At 42.3% G+C, this 15,877-nt stretch overlaps 1 protein-coding gene across 9 annotated transcripts in view; it reads right to left on the reverse strand.

The window, feature by feature from the left end:
- Positions 1–15,877, reverse strand: part of AREL1 (apoptosis resistant E3 ubiquitin protein ligase 1) — a 51,825-nt gene that overhangs the window by 27,652 nt on the left and 8,296 nt on the right. For 6 of the 9 annotated variants that reach the window (XM_005268244.4, XM_047432019.1, NM_001437432.1 and 3 more), the window contains exon 2: positions 3,134–3,421. The gene's annotated coding sequence lies outside the window, so the exon portion shown is untranslated. Of the gene's footprint in view, positions 1–3,133; positions 3,422–9,856; positions 9,950–15,877 lie in introns of all 9 variants that reach the window. The other 3 variants (NM_001411046.1, XM_047432018.1, XM_011537415.3) reach the window with 1 other exon arrangement.

Consider the following 15,877-nt stretch of genomic DNA (forward strand, 5'->3'; position numbering starts at 1 on the left):
CTCTCTGCAACCTCCACCTCCCAGGTTCAAGCAATTCTCCTGCCTCAGCCTCCCGAGTAGCTGGGATTACAGGTGCCCACCACCACGCCAGGCTAATTTTTTGTATTTTTTTTTTTTTTTAGTAGAGACAGGGTTTCACCATGTCAGCCAGGCTGCTCTTGAACTCCTGACCTCAAGTGAACCACCTGCCTTGGCTTCCCAAAGTGCTGGGATTACAAGCGTGAGCCACCACGCCCAGCCAGGCCTCCCTATTTTTGTCACTCAAATCGCTTTTATTCCAGATCTTACCTCTGTTCTGTAAGCATTTTCTGTAAGCATGTTCCGACCCTGTTGGGGGCTCTCTCTGTCCTGTATCTACTGCTACCCCTACCCCACGCTATTCTCCTTGGCCCCAGTTGCTATAATACCTTGTTATTCATCCTATGATCTATCCAAATTAGATCCTTTACACTTTTACATACAGCTCTGAAATGTCCCCTCTCCATTCCTTTTGAAAACTCATCTCCTCTGCCTAGAATATCCTCCTTCCTTTTATTCTCTATGCATGGAAAATCTCCTGATCCTGAGGTCTAGGAAAAATCCTATCCACTCTCTCCAAAATCTTCCCTAATATTAAATTTAGAAATTCCTTCCCTCATGTGAATCTCCATAGAACATTGTTTTTATTTATCTTATAGCACTTTTCTTTTTTTTTTTTTTTTTTTTTTGGGACGGAGTTTCACTCTTGTTGCCCAGGCTGGAGTGCAATGGCGTGATCTCAGCTCACCGCAACCTCTACCTCTGGGTTCAAGCGATTCTCCTGCCTCAGCCTCCCGAGTAGCTGGGATTACAGGCATGCACCACCACGCCTGGCTAATTTTGTATTTTTAGTAGAGACGGGGTTTCTCCATGTTGGTCAGGCTGATCTCAAACTCCCAACCTGAGGTGATCCGCCTGCCTCAGCCTCCCAAAGTGCTGGGATTACAGGTGTGAGCCACCATGCCCGGCCTAGCACTTTTATTCTTTTAGTCTCGTTTTTTCATTTTAGAGTGGTAATGAGTAGTCTTAAAAATCCTCCAGGCTGGGCATGGTGGCTCATGTCTGTAACCCCAACACTTTGGGAGGCTGAGGTGGGAAGATCACTTGAGCTCAGGAGTTTGAGACCAGTCTGGGCAATATAGTGGGACCTCACCTCTACTAAAACTTGAAAACAAATTAGCTGGGCGTGCTGGCACACACCTATATCCAAGCTACTGGAGGCAAGGAGGGCATCTGAGGCAGAAGGATCCCTTGAGCCCAGGAGGTTAAGGCTGCAGTGAGCCCTGATGGCACCACTGCACTGCACTCCAACTGCACAACAGAGCAAGACCCTGTCTCCAAAAAAAAAAAAAAAAAAAAAGCTCCAAAGAAACCAACATAATTGCATATAGTAACTTCAATAAATATGAATAAGATCAAATGTCTGTCCTTTTCTTTGTCCAGAATGCCTAAGGATCAGGAATTTTCCAGATGGGATCTTCCTTGTAGATAGAGTTTGAAAGGATTTCTCTAACAGTATATTCACTTGAGCCAGGCGTTGTAAGTTCCTCAACCTAAAAGTTGCCAATTTAATTCAGTTCAACAAGCAGGTATCAAATGCCCACCACTGGGGTTGCAGATTCCCATGCATGGTATTTTTCTACAGCAGTTTCTACAGCATGCTCTACTTTTTGCTATTCATAATTTTCCTGTATGAAATTATTTTGGAACTTTCCCAAGTCTAATTGCAGTACAAACAAGTATGTGAGGCTCTACTGTACTATTTCATCAAATTGTTATGAGTACTTTGTGTGTTTTCAAGTTCATCTCTTTAGTGTCCTTGACCTTTATAAATATGGCATATTGTGATACTTTAAGCTAGAAGAAAAATATGACAGTAGTAAATTAACAGCTTTCTACCCACTTATTGAGTCACTTATCACAGGCCAAACACTGCCTTCAGTGCTTTACATATGTTAACCTAAGTAACTGTCACCACGACAACTTGGTAAGATGAATACTATTATTCTCGTTTTATGGATTTTTTTTTTTTAAGCTGGGCTTAAGGTTGCTGAACATCTCACATTGGGGTAAGTGACAGAGTTGAGATTCAAGCCGGGCTGGGAAAGCCTAGCAGGGCATGGCGGCTCATACCTGTAATCCCAGCACTTTGGAAGCCAAGGCAGGAGGATCACTTGAGCTCAAGAGCTTGGGACCAGCCTGAGCAACATGGCAAAACCCTGTCTCTACAAAAAATACAAAGAAAAAATTAGGATGTCATAGTGCACGCCTGCAGTCCCAGTTACTTGGGAGGCTGAGGCGGGAAGACTGCTTGAGCCTAGGAGGTCAAGGCTGCAGTGAGCCATGATTGTGCTACTGCACTCCAGCCTGGTTGACAGAGAAAGACCCTGTCTCCATTTAAAAAAAAAAAAAAAAAAAAAAAAGCCTACGTCTAACTCCGAAGCTCAATGCTCTTAACCTCTACAGTGAATCATGAAAAAGAATAAAGTCATAAGGATAGTGAAGTATTTGGGGAAAAAAAGATTTATGAAAACAGGTAAAACAAAGTATGAGAAAACACTATCCAATCTTACTGTGAGGAATCTCATAGCAAGGCTAAAATTAGAAAGATAAACTCTTATGGCTCTTTTTTAATCTTTTGATATATAAATAAAGCATGTCAAAGAAAAGTGGAATGCAATGCCAATTCTCTAGTGCAGAAATATCACTTGCTTACGAAGGATCCTGGTCTGGTTGCTTAATACTACAGCATTTTGGCTCACATTACCTACCAAAGGGGAAAAATACTTCAAAATATCTGTCTCAAGGGACTGTTAGAAAGTTGATTAACATACATATTCTAAAATCCTCTGCTTTTTCGGAGTATAAAGATTTTTAATTACAGTAGCAACTAAATTTTAGCCCCAACATTGAAAACCAGTTGTGAAAAAGTCATTTCCCAAAAATGGAGAACTGGTTTCTTCATATTTAAAATTGCTCTGCTGGGGACAAAGTCAATTCTCACTGCAACTGTATACTTTAACAGCTATCCCTTGCTGAAAAGGCTTAGGAATTGGTCACTGGATCCATGTTGTACATCCCAATAACTAAAGCTTAACTCAGTCTGTTACCTTACCTTTAAACGAGGGCCCATGTTCTGAGAACCAAGTAGAGCACTCCTATTCACCAAAGCAGGTAACTTTTGGCCCCTTTCACCTTGTCTTCCAACTTCCACATGAAAGAAAAACGCCACAAGGTCAACAGAAAGGGTCTATCCATCAGACTTTGTCACAGTAATCAGGTCAGTGTTTCTGGGATGAACTGGATGAACTCCAGGGTAGAGAAATACAGCCCAAGAATATATCATTCCTGGACTTCTCTCTAGTGCAGGGTGCAATCGACTGCCAAAGGACGCCCCAGGATCCTGTCCAAAAAAGAAAACAGGGTTAGTTGGAATAGGTTTTTATTTCTGAAAAGGATTCCCCAGAAAAAAATCAAAGAGAAGGTAGAACAGGCAGTGGAAACCCTGGGACACTAAAAATAACCAAAAATTGGTAAACTCTGACCAAGCATTCTCAATTAAAACTCCACACAGTTTCCTTGAGGCCTCTCTCCAACTCCATAAGAAAAGTCAACTGGCAGCCTCACTGTCTATAACTATGTCTCCGGCTGAGAAGTGCCAGAGCTTCCTTCAGTTCACTGTCCCCAAATACTTCCCTATCCTTATGACATTATTCTTTTTCATGATTCAGCATAGAGGTTAAGAGCATTGAGCTTCAGAATTAGACACAGTTTTTTTGTTTTTGTTTTTGTTTTTGAGACAGGGTCTTTCTCCATCACCCAGGTTGGAGTGCAGTGGCATGATTACAGCTCACTGCAGCCTTGACCTCCTGGGCTCAAGCGATCCTCCCGCCTCAGCCTCCCAAGTAGCTGGGACTACAGGCGTGCACTACCACACCTGGCTAATTTTTTATTTGTGTTTTTTGTAGAGACGGGGTTTTGCCATGTTGCTCAGGCTAGTCTTGAACTCCTAAGCTCAAGAAATCCTCCTGCCTTGGCCTCCCAAAGTGCTGGGATTACAGGTGTGAGTCCATTCTTCAGTAGAAGCAAACTAGGCCACAGACTTAAAGAGTAACCTTCAGCACAACCACATACCCAGTTTGAATATAATGGGGTTGCAGCACAGGGTCTGGAGCAACCACAAAGACAAGTGAGATGAACGCACAGCCAGAACCAGGTTACGGACAGCCTTATATGCCATGGTAAGGAATTGAGACAATATTCAGCTGGAAAGGAGAAACTTCCAAAGAGCTTTAAAGCCCAATCTATCAGCCTATGCAGTCTGCTCCCTTCGTGCCCACATATGCATTTCCAAGACATGCTTAAATAAAGTTGATTTTATATTTAAAACAGTAAAATCTGCTACTACGAGTCAGGGGAAAATCTGTGAACTTTCAAAATAAAGTCACTAAATAAAGTCCAGTAAAGTCAGTTTATAACTCTCGAAGATATTCATGAACCAAAAATGTAGCAGAAAGGGGGTTTATGGCAATGCATACACAAACAGCCACCATAAGACAAATGAGAAGAGACTACTAATTAGTAAATGAAGAGACAGTCTTACCATATGGCAGGAACTGTTCTCAGTGCTTCATACACATAAACTCACAGATACAATTATCCCTATTTTAACACAGATACAATTATCCCTATTTTACAGATGAGGAAACTGGGACACAGAAAGGTTAAAGTACTTTTCCAAGAAAACACACAGTGAGTAATAGAGCTGAGTCAAACTCAGACAACCTGGACCCAGAATCCCTGCTTTTAATGACTACTCTACTGCCTCTCCACTATGGGAAACCAAGGAAGAAAGCACAAAATGCTAAAAGAACAGAATGAGTGAAGACCAGTAAATGAAATTAAGTTGGCAAACTTTTATCATTAAAAATAAATAAGTATATGTATTTAGTTTAAAATACAGCAACATGACCGGGCACAGTAGTTCACGCCTGTAATCCCAGCACTTTGGGAGGCCAAGGCAGGCGGATCACTTGAGCCCAGGAGTTCAAGACCAGCCTGGGCGACATAACAAAACCCCGTCTCTACAAAAAATACAAAAATTACCCAGACATGGCGGCAGGCGCCTGTGGTCCCAGTTACTTGGAGGCTGAGGTGGGGGTTGGCTTGAGCCCAGGAGGCAGACGTTGACGTGAGCCGAGATCATGCCACTGCACTCCACCCTGGGCAACAGAGCCAGACCCAGTCTCAAAATAAATAAATAAATAAATAAATAAATAATGCCAACAGACTTGCCAAGTACAAGAGCCAAAACCTGGGTCAACTGGCTACTGGAACCAGCTTAAAGGATCCACAAACAACAGACTATATACGTAAGCTATAAGAGAGCACTATGTAGAATACTATATAAGGAATTTTTAAATGACACTTTTAAGGAATAAACAACATAGGGAAATGCTTACAAATAAAATGTTAAATAAAAAAGTAGGAACAAAACTGTTTATGTAGCACAAGTCCAAATTTAGAAACATAACATTACATAAAGAAGACTGAAAGGAAAATATAAAAATATTAATAGTGATCATCTCTTGGTATACGGAATTATAAATAATTTTTATTTTCTACCTGTACCTTTTAGTGTTTTTCAAATTCTTAATGTTGCAAGGACATGTAAAAAGTTTCTATTTCTGGAGAACACATTTTTGGTGGGGACTGATTTTCCTTAAATAAGGGAGAGAATGGGCAAGTTATCCTTTTTTCAAATAAGAAAATGGTATAAAGAGGCTGGGCACGGTGGCTCACGCCTGTAATCCCAGCACTTTGGGAGGCTGAAGCGGGCGGATCATGAGGTCAGGAGATCAAGACCATCCTGGCTAACACGGTGAAATCCCGTCTCTACTAAAAATACAAAAAATTAGCCAGGCACGGTGGCGGGTGCCTGTAGTCCTAGCTACTTGGGACGCTGAGGCAGGAGAATGGTGTGAACCCGGGAGGCGGAGTTTGCCGTGAGCCAAGATTGCGCCACTGCACTCCAGCCTGGGCGATAGAGTGAGACTCTGTCTCGGAAAAAAAAAAAAAAAAAAAGAAAGAAAGAAAATGGTATAAAGAAATTAAGATAACAGATTATACTGAACTTTTCTTTCCTTCTTTTTTTTTTTTTTTTTGAGATAGAGTCTTGTTCTGTTGCCCAGGCTGGAGTGCACTGGCATGATCTTGGCTCACTGCCTCACTACAACCTCCACCTCCTGGGTTCAAGCGATTCTCTTGCCTCAGCCTCCCTAGTGGCTGGGACTACAGGTGCGTACTACTATGCCCAGCTAGTTTTTGTATTTTTGGTAGAGGCAGGGTTTCACCACGTTGGCCAGGCTGGTCTTGAACTCCTGACCACAGGTGATTCGCCCGCCTCAGCTTCCCAAAGTGCCAGGATTACAGGAATGAGCCACCACACCCAGCCTGAACTTTTATTTCTATTCACTATGATGTTAGCAGGTTTCCAACCCTGTGATCAGCTATTTGATTATTAAATCAAATAACTCCTAGTTGTAATATAAGCTTTACTATCCCTACCGTGAGCTACCATGCTCACCGCAATGCTTCAGTACCTCTACTGAGCTTCAAAACTCAACTCAAGCACTCCCCCTTCTCTGGTCCTGCTCCAAGGCCTCTCTGAGGACTCTTCCCACACCAGATAGAATCAGCCACTTCCTCCTTTGTGGTGCTCCTCTGCTGAAGATACCTCCGTTATAGCATTTACTAGTCTGTATTGAAATTATTTGTTTATATAGCAGTCTCTCCTAATAGATTGCGGACTCCCCAAGGAACACTGACCAGGTCATAACATTGCCTCCCCAAGGCTAGTATGGTGTTCAGCCCTGCTATCTCAGAGTCTGTACTTTCACAAGATCCCCAGGTGAGTCCTATGTATGCTGAAGTTTGAGAAACATGGTTTAGACTCTAGAGCAATCAGTATGAGAAGGGGCTCAACATTCTGTATCTCTAACAGGTTCACAGGTAATGCTGATGCTGCTGGTCTCCTAGACCATGCTTTCAGAAGTGAGAATCCAAGTTAAGAGTCAGCAAGCCAAATCCTAACAGCCGCCTGTTTTTGTGAAAACAGCCAAGTTCATTCATTTACATATTATCTGTGGCTGCTTTTGCACAATGGCAGAGCTGAGTAGTTGCAGCAGAGACATATGGCCCACAAAACTTTACTATCTGATGCTTTATTGAAAAAGTATACCAATTCCAGGTGTAGAGGTCTTAGTCTTAAAGCTACACAACTACCTTATATAAACAAATACATTTTTCTAAATCAAAGAAAGCATACAAATCATTTTCTTCCAGTTCTACCATCTCTTCTTAGGAAAAGAATTACAAAACTTGCAATGTTATGCAAACACATCTAGTTTCAACTATGACTTGATGGCTTTATTCTTCCCATACCCCAATTAGGAATTTTACAGTCATTTTCCAAAGTATGTATTTCATACAATCATGCTTGCATTTGATCAAGGCTAATATTTCCTAAAACTAGTATCTCGGGGACCAAATACTGTATCCGGGTTGCTAAAATTACTATAACACATACTACTAACTCAGTCTCTACTTCTAAAGTGCTATTCTAAAAAGCTGTGAAAGGCCAGGTGCAGTAGTGCACACCTGTATTCCCAACACTTTAGGAGGCTGAACTGGGAAGATCACTTGAGCCTAGGAGTTGAAACCAGACTGGGCCCTCTCTAAAAAAATAAAAATAAATTGGTCAGGTATGGTGGCTCACGCCTGTAATCCCAGCACTTTGGGAGGCCAAAGTGGGCAGATCACCTGAGGTCAGGGGTTTGAGAAAAGCCTGGCCAACATGGCAAAACCCCATCACTACTAAAATACGAAAATTAGCCACGCATGGTGGCACACACCTGTAATCCCAGCTACTCAGGAGACTGAGGCAGGAGAATCACTTGAACTTGGGAGGCTTAAGTTGTAGTGAGCCAAGATTGCGCCACTGCACTCCATCCTGGGTGACAAAGCAAGACTTCGTCTCAAAAAATAAAATAAAATAATAAAATAAAATAAATTAGCTGGGCGTGGTAGCATGCCCCTGTTGTCCTAGCTACTCAGAAGCTAAGGCAGGAGGATCTCCTAAGCCCAGAAGTTTGAGGCTACAGTGAGCTGTGATCACACCACACCACTGTACTCTAGCCTGGGTAACAGAGAGAGAGATCCTGTCACACATACACACACACACACACACACAGCCATGAAAAACATGATGTAAAAGTCCATTTCAAAATTTTGGTGCATACAGAGCTAGTGGCAGCAAACAGAAGTTCTGATATCACCTACTGATGTCCACCAAATGACAAGACAAAAGAAAGACGTTTGTTTTGTAAGATGCAATCTCCAGCATTCTCCACAGAGAAGCACCAGCCATGAGTCCAGGGACATGAACTTAAAAAAACAAACTATTCAATTTTCAAAAAGTGCACAGGTTAGGGTGGTCTAACTAAGGAGGTTCCAAGAATATATCAGACACTTTGGATTATCAGTTTACATTTACTATGGCTTAATTCCACTCTTAGTTTATACTCCCCAACCCAAAATCCCACCATAAAAGATTGCCCTCCTCCATCAAGTTTATACTCTTGAGATATTTATACAGTTGTCTATTTCTGCTATTGTGGTTTAGCCAAGTTACATGGTTTTCATTTATACTTTCTTCATCAGTCAGCCTCTCCAGTCTCTTAATCATTCCTGTGGGTCTTCTGTGAACTCTCTCCAGCTGATCCCCAACGATCTGGTAATGAGGTGCCTCCAAATGACTGCAGCCTTCCAGGGACAGCCTCATTAGTCAGCAGGATGAACTCACTCTCCTCAGTTCCATGACATACTACTCTTGAGCAGGCAATCCCCCAAATCACAGAAATCTACTGTGCTGCCGTATTAGACTGTACCTCATTCTATAACTCCCAGATTTGGACACTGGGGCATGCTAGAATGTGCTAGAAGCCAGAGGATAAATGACCCATGTTCCTACAGCATCTGTTTCACTAGAGGATGAGTGACTGGGGAGAAAAAAAAATTTCATGTTAAATCAAACTCATAGATAATAAAACAGAATGTAATATTTGCATGAATTTCTAAAGATAAAACATGGATATGTTGAATATATTCATAGATATTCTGAACTTGAAGCAGAAAGGCTGCTTGGGCCTCTGCTCCCGGCACCAAGGAGTTAACATATCCTTTACCACTAGAGGTACTTGAGCCAAAACCCTCACTCAACTTCTGATCTACTGTGCATTACCTTACTCATACCATATACTCACATTTTAAATGATATTATTTTTCTGCTATGTTTCCCCATCCTAGATATCTATATTTATTTTCTCTTTGCCTAAAATCTTTTGCTGCAGGAACACGTGTCATTTATCTTCTGGCTTCTAGAACATTCTTGCCTGCCCTGATGCCCAAATCTGGGAGGCATGAAATGGGGTTACAGTCTAATTCACTCGATAATTCACAGACTACCAACATCTATAGGTTCCTCTTCATCGTTCATTCTTCATTCATTTCACATTTCTTGAGCATTTGCTATATACTGGGCTACGTGATAAAAGCTAAAGTCACAAGGATAAATAAGACAGGGTGCTTTCTTAACCTCAATGAACTTGGTCCGCCATGGGAGAAGGACAATGCAATGTTGCAAGTGCCATAAAAGAGGAATAAGCAAAGTATGGAGGGCAGAGGAAGGAGAAGTAACTGTATGTGCAAGTGGAAAAGCAGAGACAACAGAGCTGATTACTTAAGAATGAGTAAGCAGGCTGAGCATGGTGGTTCATACCTGTAATCCCAGCACTTTGGGAGGCTGAGGTGGGAGGATGGCTTGCGCCCAGGAGTTCAAGACCAATCTGGGTAACATAGTGAGATCCCATCTCTAAAAAAAAAAAAAAAAAAAGCTGGGTGTGGTGGTATGCACCTATGGTCCCAGCTACTCAGGAGGCTGAGGTGGGAGGATCATTTGAGCCCAGGAGGGTGAGGCTGCAGGGAGCCCTGACTGCTCCACTACACTTCAGACCGTGTGAAGAGCAAGACTCTGTCTCCAAAAAAAACCAAGGTGTTTAGAAAGACCACCTGGGGCTAAACTAGGATGACTACCATGTAGTGGTTAAGAGCATGAATCTTACTACTGAATGATCTTAAACAAGTTACAGCAGGTCCTCAAACGACATCAGTTTCATTCAACACTGTTTTCTTATGATTTTGAGGAGTAAAAAAATGGACTCCTGGCAGGCACCAATGTGTGGAGTTCACACATTCTCTGTGTGGGTTTTCTCTGGATACTTGGATTTCCTCCCACATCCCAAAGATGTGCACTTCAAAGTTAACTGGCATGTCTAAAGTGTCCCAGTCTAAGTGACAGTGAGGGGTGTGTGTGTGTGTGTGTGTGTGTGTGTGAGAGAGAGAGAGAGAGAGCAAGAGCAAGAGAGAGAGAGAGAGACAGCACACAAGCGAGAGAGCCCTGCAATAGAATGGCGTCCCATCCAGCGCTGGTTCCCAACTTGCACCCTAAGCCCTGGCCACCCTCAACCGTGGACTGGAATAATTGGGTAAATGTTATAATTATCTAACTTGTTTTTATCAATCTTTCTTATACATACTGCTCTCATTTATTTTAATATGTATATTATGTTCTGGTCTTTATTTAAAATAGTTTGGTGATATTTTTGTGACCAGAAATATGCCATAGGAACTTAATTCTTGTTTATATCAATTAGCCTATGGTAAAACTGGTTATCAATATACATCATTTTGTTTGAAGGAGAAGTTTCCAAGAACCTATCAACATCAAGTGAGGACTTGCTGTAAATTTCTCTTCAGTTGCCTCATATGTAAAATGGAGATGCACTGAGAAAAGAAACGAATCCGCTGCTCTTGGGGAGCAAGACTTGGAGAATAAGGACAAGGAGAATTGCTTGAGACTGAAACTTTACACCCAGGTGATATGGAGTGCCTTGGGGGACAAGGCTGTATGCACAGACCAGGCTGCTGGGTTGCCAGGTTATGAGGGTGGTTTGTGCCAGGCCACAATAGCCCAACCCACAGCAAGTGAGGAAGATGGCTTCAATCTACCTGAAGGACTCACTGGTTTTCCAGAGAGATTCCATGTGGAAAAAACTACAGCAACAATCCAAAATAATGGATTTTCCAGTGTTCTCTGAAGGATGATGATAACAAGAATCAACCTTTATTGAGAACTTACTATGTGCCAGGCATTGTATAAAGTGCTACATCTATATTATCTCATTTAACTCTCACATCAACCATATGAGGAAAGCATACTTTATCCATATTTTATAGATTAGGAAACAGAAGCACAGAAAGCTAAAATGACTTGCCTATAGCCATCTAGTTTATAAGTGAAGGAGTCAAGCAATGTGATTCCAGAGTTTATATTCTTTCTCTACTCTTAACTGGCAATACTGATGTATCAAAAAGAACTTCCAGAAGGGGGGAAAAAGATATTATTCTTGGGATAGGAAGAATTAAGCTCAGAAATATTTAATTTGAAATTTTAGCCGGGCGCAGTGGCTCACACCTGTAATTCCAGCATTTTGGGAGGCCAAGGCAGGTGGATCACGAGTTCAGGAGATCGAGACCATTCTGGCTAACATGGTGAAACCCTGTCTCTACTAAATATACAAAAAAAATTAGCCGGGCATGGTGGCACACGCCTGTATTCCCAGCTACTGGGGAAGCTGAGGCAGGAGAATTGCTTGAACCCAGGAGGCAGAGGTTGCAGTAAGCTGAGATCATGCTACTGCACTCCAGTCTGGGCGACAGAGCGAGAGTCCCTCTCAAAACAAAACAAAACAAAACAAAAAGGAATGTTAAAGGAATATGACTTCATTTTAGACTTTAAGCAACAACAACAACAAAAAGATGTTTTTTAACCGAGAGAGAAAAAGGATCACACATTTTAAATGAAGTAACTCTGGGGACAATGTGAAAGACTCTGAAGGGGGACAGACCCATTAATGAGCACAAGATAAGGGGCTACTGGTCCAATGGAGTAGCTATACACTGGCCACAATATAGACAGGGTCCAACATAGACCCTCATTAGTCACATTGGTTGAGGGTGGCCAGGGCTTAGGGTGCAAGTTGGGAGCCAACCCTGGATGGGTTGCTCTCCTGCTTTATGCTCTCAGAAGCAACAGGATCAATGATCTGTGAGGTCAAATGAATAAACAAGAGGAAGAAGCCAAGGAAAAAGGCAAATTTTCTATGGTTGGGAGCCTGGATAAATGAAGGAGAATTAAGGAGGCAAAGCAAACATGAAAAAAAAGATATATTAGTCCAATTTCATGCTGCTGTTAAAGACGTATCAGAGACTGGTTAATTTACAAAGAAAAAGAGGTTTAATGGACTCACAGTACCATGTGGCTGGGGAGGCCTCACAAATCACGGTGGAAGGTGAAAGGCATGTCTTACATGGCAGCAGGCAAGAGAGAATGAGAGCCAAGCGAAAAGAGAAATCCCTTATAAAATCATCAGATCTTGTGAGACTTATTCACTACCACAAGAACAGTATGTGGGAAACTGCCTCCGTGATTCAATTATCTCCCACTGGATCCCTCCCATAACACATGAGAATTATGGGAACTATAATTCAAGATGAGATTTGGATGGGGACACAGCCAAACCATATCATTCCACCCCGGCCCCTCCCAAATCTCATGTCCTTACATTTCAAAACCAATCATGCCTTCCCAACAGTCCTCCAAAGTCTTAACTCAAAGTTCACAATCCAAAGTATCATCTGAGACAAGGCAAGTCCCTTCTGCCTATGACCCTGTAAAATCAAAATCAAGTTAGTTACTTTCTAGATACAATGGGAGTACAGGCAATGGGTAAATATACCTGTTCCAAATGGGAGAAATTGGCCAAAACAAAGGGGCTGCAGGGCCCATGCAAGTCCAAAATCCAGCAGGGCAGTCAAATCTCAAAGCTCCAAAATGATCTCCTTTGACTCCATGTCTCACATCCAGGTCACGCTGACACAAGAGGTGGGTTCCCATGGTCTGGGGCAGCTCCATCCCTGTGGCTTTGCAGGGTACAGCCTCCTCCCCAGCTGCTTTCGTGGGCTAGCACTGAGTGCCTGAGGCTTTTCCAGGCACATGGTACAAACTGTCAGTGAATCTACCACTCTGGGGTCTGGAGGACGGTGGCCCTCTTCTCACAGCTCCACTAGACAGTGCCCCAGTGGGGACTCTGTGTGGGAGCTTCAACCCCACATTTCCCCCCAACATTGCCCTAGCAGAGGTTCTCCATGAGGGCCCCACCCCATAGCAGACTTCTGCCTGAACATTCAGGAGTTTCCATACATCCTCTGAAATCCAGGCAGAGGTTCTCAAACCTCAGTTCTTGACTTCTGTGCACCCACAGGCTCAACATCACGTGTAAGCTGCCAAGGCTTGGGGCTTGCACCTTCTGAAGCGATGGCCCAAGCTGTACCTTGGCTCCTTTCAGCCACAGCTGGAGCAACTGGGGCACAGGGCACCAAGTCCCTACACTGCACACAGCAGGGGGGACCTGGGCCCTGCCTTCAAAACCATTTTTTCCTCCTAGGCCTCCAGGTCTGTGATGGGAGTGGCTGCTATGAAAACCTCTGACATGCCCTGGAGACATTTTCCCCATTGTCTTGGTGATTTGGCTCCTCTTTATTTATGCAAATTTCTGTAGCCAGTTTGAATTTCTCCTCAAAAAATGGGTTTTTCTTTTCTATCGCCACTGTCAGGCTGCAAATTTTCCAAACTTTTATGCTCTGCTTCCCTTTTAAATGTAAGTTCCAATTTCAGATCATCTCTCTCAAATTCAAAGTTCCACAGATTTCTAGGGCAGGAGCAAAATGATTCCAGTCTCCTTGCTAAAGCATAACAAGAGTGACCTTTGCTCCAGTTCCCAACAAATTCCTCATCTCCATCTGAGACCACCTCAGCCTGGATTTCAATGTCCATATCATCACCATTTTGTTCAAAGTCATTCAACAAGTCTCCAGGAAGTTTCAAACTTTCCCACATTTTCCTGTCTTCCTCTGAGCCCTCCAAACTGTTCTAACCTCTGCCTGTTACCCAGTTCCAAAGTTACTTCCATATTTTCAGGTATCTTTACAGCACCGCCTCACTCCCAGTACCAATTTACTCTATTAGTCCATTTTCACACTGCTGATAAAGACATACTAGAGACTGGGTAACTTCTAAAGAAAAAAGGTTGAATGGACTCACAGTTCCACATGGCTGGGAGGCCTCACAACCATGTCAGAAGGCAAAAGGCATGTCTTACGTGGCAGCAGGCAAGAGACAATGAGAGCCAAGCGAAAGGGGAAATCCCTTATAAAATCAACAGATATTGTGAGACTTATTCACTACCATGAGAACAGTATGAGGGAAACCACCCCATGATTCAATTATCTCCCACTGGATCCCTCCCACAACAATGGGAATTATGGGAGCTAAAATTCAAGGTGAGATTTGGGTGGGGACACAGCCAAACCATATCAAAAGATAATGAGTAGAGAATTAAACATGTTAAGTTTGGAGTGTCTACAGGATATCCAGGTGAATACATTCAAAAGGTACATAGAAATACATTTGTATCACACGCAAAATGTAGTCCTTCGTGTGTAGCATTTTTTCACTTAGCATAATGGTTCTTAGATTCATACATGTTGTTACACATTTCGGTAGTTCACTCCTTTTTCCTGCAGAGTAGTACTCCATTAAATGGACATACTGCAATCTGTTTATCCATTCACCAGATGAAGGACATTTGGGTTACATCCAGTTTGGTGGTATCATAGATAAAGCTGCTATGAACATTAAGCTACAAGTCTGTGTAGGCACATGATTTCATTTCTCTTGGGTAAATATCTAAGAATGGGATTGCTGGGTCATATGGTAAGTATCTACTTAACTTACAAGAAACTGCCAAACCGTTTACCAAAGCGGCTGGACCACTTTGCATTTCCACCAGCAATGCACAAGAGGCAGGTTGCTCTATATCCACCAACACTTGGTACTGTCTTAATGTTACCCATTCTAATAGGTGTGAAGTGGTATCTCACTGTGATTTTAATTTGCATTTCCCTAAGGACTAACAATATTGAGTATTTTTTTCATGTGTTTATTGGTTATTTGTATTAGTTTCTTTGAAGTATCTATTCAAATCTTTTCTTTTTTAAAAATCGAGCTGTTTGTCTTCTTACTATTGAGTTGTAAGAGTTCTTTATACATTCTAAATGTGAACCCCGAATATCTGAGACAGGTCTCAGTTAATTTAGAAAGTTTATTTTGCCAAGGTTGAAGACATACGCCCAGGACACGGCCTCATGAGGTCCTGACGACATGTGCCCAAGGTGGTTGGGGCACAGCTTGCTTTTATACATTTTAGGGAGACTTGAGACATCAATCAAGATGTATACTGGCTCAGTCCAGAAAGGCGGGACAACTTGGAGTAGGGAGGGGGGCTTCCAGGTGAGAAAAATGGTTGCATTATTTTGAGTTTCTGATTAGCCCTTCCAAAGAAGGCAATCAGATATGCATCTATCTCGGTAGGCAGGGGATGACTCTGAACAGAATGAGACACAGATTTGCCCTAAGCAGTTCCCAGCTTTACTTTTCCCTTTAGCTTAGTGATTTGGGGGCCCCAAGACTTATTTTCCTTTCACATAAATATAAGTCCTTTATTAGATAAACATTTTGCAAATATTTTCTGTGGCTTGCCTCTTCATTTTCTTAACAGAAAATACACTTTTTAAAGAGTACAAGTTTCTAACTTTGATGAAAGCCAACATAAATTTTTTC

This window comes from Homo sapiens, chromosome 14 (genome assembly GCF_000001405.40).
Source record: "Homo sapiens chromosome 14, GRCh38.p14 Primary Assembly".
Taxonomy (NCBI): Eukaryota; Metazoa; Chordata; class Mammalia; order Primates; family Hominidae; genus Homo; species Homo sapiens.